This window comes from Homo sapiens, chromosome 3, assembly GCF_000001405.40.
Source record: "Homo sapiens chromosome 3, GRCh38.p14 Primary Assembly".
Classification (NCBI taxonomy): domain Eukaryota; kingdom Metazoa; phylum Chordata; class Mammalia; order Primates; family Hominidae; genus Homo; species Homo sapiens.
The window spans coordinates 106,249,125-106,252,675 of NC_000003.12; the positions used below are offsets into that span (position 1 = coordinate 106,249,125).

The following is a 3,551-nucleotide window of genomic DNA, read 5'->3' on the forward strand; positions in this document are numbered from 1 at the left end:
ACAGTGAATTCACCTTGTCTATAAATTGAACCAATTACCATAATTGAAACTCTGGGTGGGAGTCTGTGATTTCCATCAATAGGCATGGATATAATTAACCAATAACTATGGAGGATGTGGTTCTACAAAGTTACAGATTTTTTTCTAGCATCTACTGGAAGCACATCTGTTATGTCATATGTTATTGGCTCACCATGACTAATGATCCAATACACTTTAAAATATTTGCATAAGACTTGACTTCTATGTTTACATACTTACGAAACCACCATCATTTCCCGCCCTTGTCTTTAAAGTATTTCCCTTGTTCTAATTTATCCAGTTACATATATCACTTTATCTTCACACACATATACTGTTCTTTATTATAATATGTACCAAACCAAGCACAATAAAAAAATCACAGCTGGCATGTGTATAGATATCTTCTGTTTTATTGCACATCATTATTTACTAAAAATAAAACTTCAGGATAGATTTTGCAGACTTAGGAATCCCTCAAATTTACAAGGGTTCACATTCACATAAAAAACTTTTTTGTGAACATCGACAAATAGTCGAACATATCTATCATACAGATAGTTGACATATCTGTATCTATCATTTATAACATTATCCCTGAACAAAAGCTCTCATTAGAGGTCTAATTTTCTGCATTTTATTATATAGGACTCTGGGTGATGTAGGTAGGCTGATTTCTCTCCCTCCCCACTTCCTTTCCCAGATCTTAAATATACTACTACTACTATTACTACTACTACTACTGCCACTGCTACTGCTGCTACTGCAACTGCTGTTACTACTTCTACTACTACTAAGCTGGAGAAACTTAGAAAGTCAACTCTGCCCTTTACTCACTCAGTACACATTTACTAAGGGCCTGCAGTGTGCAAATCTCTGTGCTAGATGTTTTGAACATATAAAGAATATATTTTTATCCTTGCCTCAGAAAAAATTGCTGAGATCAGTAAGAAATACAGATATCACACAGAGTGCTCCACATAGACAAGATAAAAGTGAATAAATAGCTGACTGCATTCTGTTGGAAAATCTGGTGTACTTGAATTTATGCCCAGTACAATTGCTGTCCTGTCTACTTTGGTTGAAAGACATCAAGTTACATGTATAGATACTTGATAAAATAAAATGACTTCCAACAAGTAAATGTATGTTCTCTCTCTCTCTCTCTATCTTTATCTTTCTGTCTATCTTTATCTCTCTCTCTATCTTTTAGAGTCAGGGTCTTGCACTGTTACCCAAGCTGGAGTGCAGTGGCGCCATCATAGCCCACTGCAGGCTTGAACTCCTGAGCTCAAGTAATTCTCTTGCCTCAGCCCCCTGAATAGCTGGCACACACCAACACACTCAACTAATTTTTTTGTTTTGTTTTGTTTTTTTAGAGACATGGTCTTGCTTTGTTGTCTAGTCTGGTCTCTAACTCTTGACTTCAAGTGATCCTCTTGCCTTACCCTCTCAAAGTGCTGGGATTATAGGAATTAACCACCATGTCTGGACTTTTGTTTTTTCTTATTGAAATTAATCGGCTTTAAAATAATAAACATTTACTATTATTTTTATCAGAGGCCTTGCTTAATTCAAATTGTACCCCCAAAACCACTATCAGTCTTTGGTAGTAGATGTCATGTATAGGTATGTTGATATTACATGAATGGCCCACCATTTGTCTGTAAGCTGAAGATCACTTTTATAAAGTAAAGAGATGCTATACACAACAACAAAAAATAATAATGAGAAATACTGAAAAAAATAATAGAAAAAATGTCCAATAACTGAACATTTCTTTGTGTCTCTTGGTTGTATTCTATGTGGATTTTTTTTCTAAAAACTTTTAAAATTTAAACTCTTTAAATGCTCACTGCATGTCCTGGCAAATCTCCAGGTATTCTGAGCACCTGCTCACCTGGATTGGCAACCTCAGTTGTCACGCCCTTCCTGTGCAGAGATCTGGGTGCAGAGGAGGCCCTCTCTGCTTCATGCCTAGGCAGATGTCCAAGCTTTTGGAGCACTCACTCTCCTGAACTAGTAGCCTAAGTCATCCCAGTCCTCCTGTGCAGAGACCATGGTGAAGCAGGGCCCTCTCTGCCCAATCACCAGGCAGATCCCCAAACATCTGGAGCACCTGCTTGTTTGGATTAATAGCCTGAGCCACCATTCCCTTGCTGTGAAGAGACTGTGGTGCAGTGGGACCTTCTCCACTTCATGCCCAGGCAGATCTCCGTGCACCTGGAGTATCCACTCTCCTGGATTAGGAGTTTAGGCTACCCCCATTCCCCATGCTGAGAACTTGGGGGTAGGAAGGTTTTCCAATTCCATTTTTAGACTCACCTCTGGGCACATGGTGGCTGCCCACTGCATTCTTCTTTGGTGCTGGTGCTGATGCTTGTCACTGGGGACCTGTAGTTGGGCCTAACCGGTCCAGCTCCACCCATCCTGTCCCACACTAGAGCTGAGTGGGGAGATCAAACCATTGTGTACTCCATGTATTAGCTCATTGCCTGAGGCAACAAGAGCTTCTCCTAGTGAACAAGGGTCAAGTACATAACCAGTTGCATTGGCTGCAGCCAGCTCTTACCTGTAAGTGCCATCTACTGGCTTGTGGGTCAAACCACATGGCCCAATGTAAAACCTACCAACAAAAGTTAATAGGGCTAAAAGACCTTACCCAACATTCCATAGTAACACTGCCTAAGGAAGAGGGAAAAAACCCCAAAATACCCTAATAATGTAAGAAAAGAAATAGGAAAGAAAGAAGAAAGAAAGAAAGAAAAAAGAAAGAAAGAAAGAGAGAAAGAAAGAAAGAAACATGGATTCTATCAACATGAAAATAATTATAGAAATAAGAAATGCAGCCGGGTGTGGTGGCTTGCGCTTGTAATCCCAGCAGTTTAGGAGGCCAAGGCAGGTGAATCACTTGAGGTCAAGAGTTCAAGACCAGCCTGGCCAACATGGTGAAACCCCACCTCTATTAAAAATACAAAAATTAACTGGGTGTGATGGTGGGTGCCTGTAATCCCAGCTACTAAGGAGGCTGAGGCAGGAGAATCACTTGAACCCAGGAGGTGGATGTTGCAATGAGCCATGATAGCACCACTGCTCTCTAGCCTGGGTGACACAGTGAGACTCCATCTCAAAAAAAAAAAAAAAAAAATCCAGTGTGTCTAGATGTGAAGGAACCAGTATAAGAATTATGGCACCATAAAAAAATCTGAATGCAGTGACAGCACTAAAGAATATAACTAGCTCTCCAGCAATGGTCCCCGACCAAAGTGGAAACTCAGAAATGAAAAGGGGTAAAGAAAGGGAATGCGTATACCTACTGGTGGGAATGTAAATTAGTCTTAGCAATTGTGGAAAGCAGTGTGGCAATTCCTCAAAGAACTTAAAACAGAATTACTATTCAACTCAGCAATCTCATTAATGAGTACATACCCAAAGGAATATAAATCATTCTATCATAAAGATAGAATGCACATGTATGGTCATCACTGTACTATTCACAGTAGCAAACATATGGACTCAACCTAAATGTC

General features: G+C 39.8%; 1 annotated feature.

Moving 5' to 3' along the window:
- Nucleotides 2,543–2,602: a silencer, noted in NCBI's record as "silent region_14584". NCBI's record gives its function as "represses an Ori minimal core promoter by ATAC-STARR-seq in GM12878 lymphoblastoid cells {active_cell/tissue: GM12878}" and the evidence as "EXISTENCE:reporter gene assay evidence [ECO:0000049][PMID:35858748]".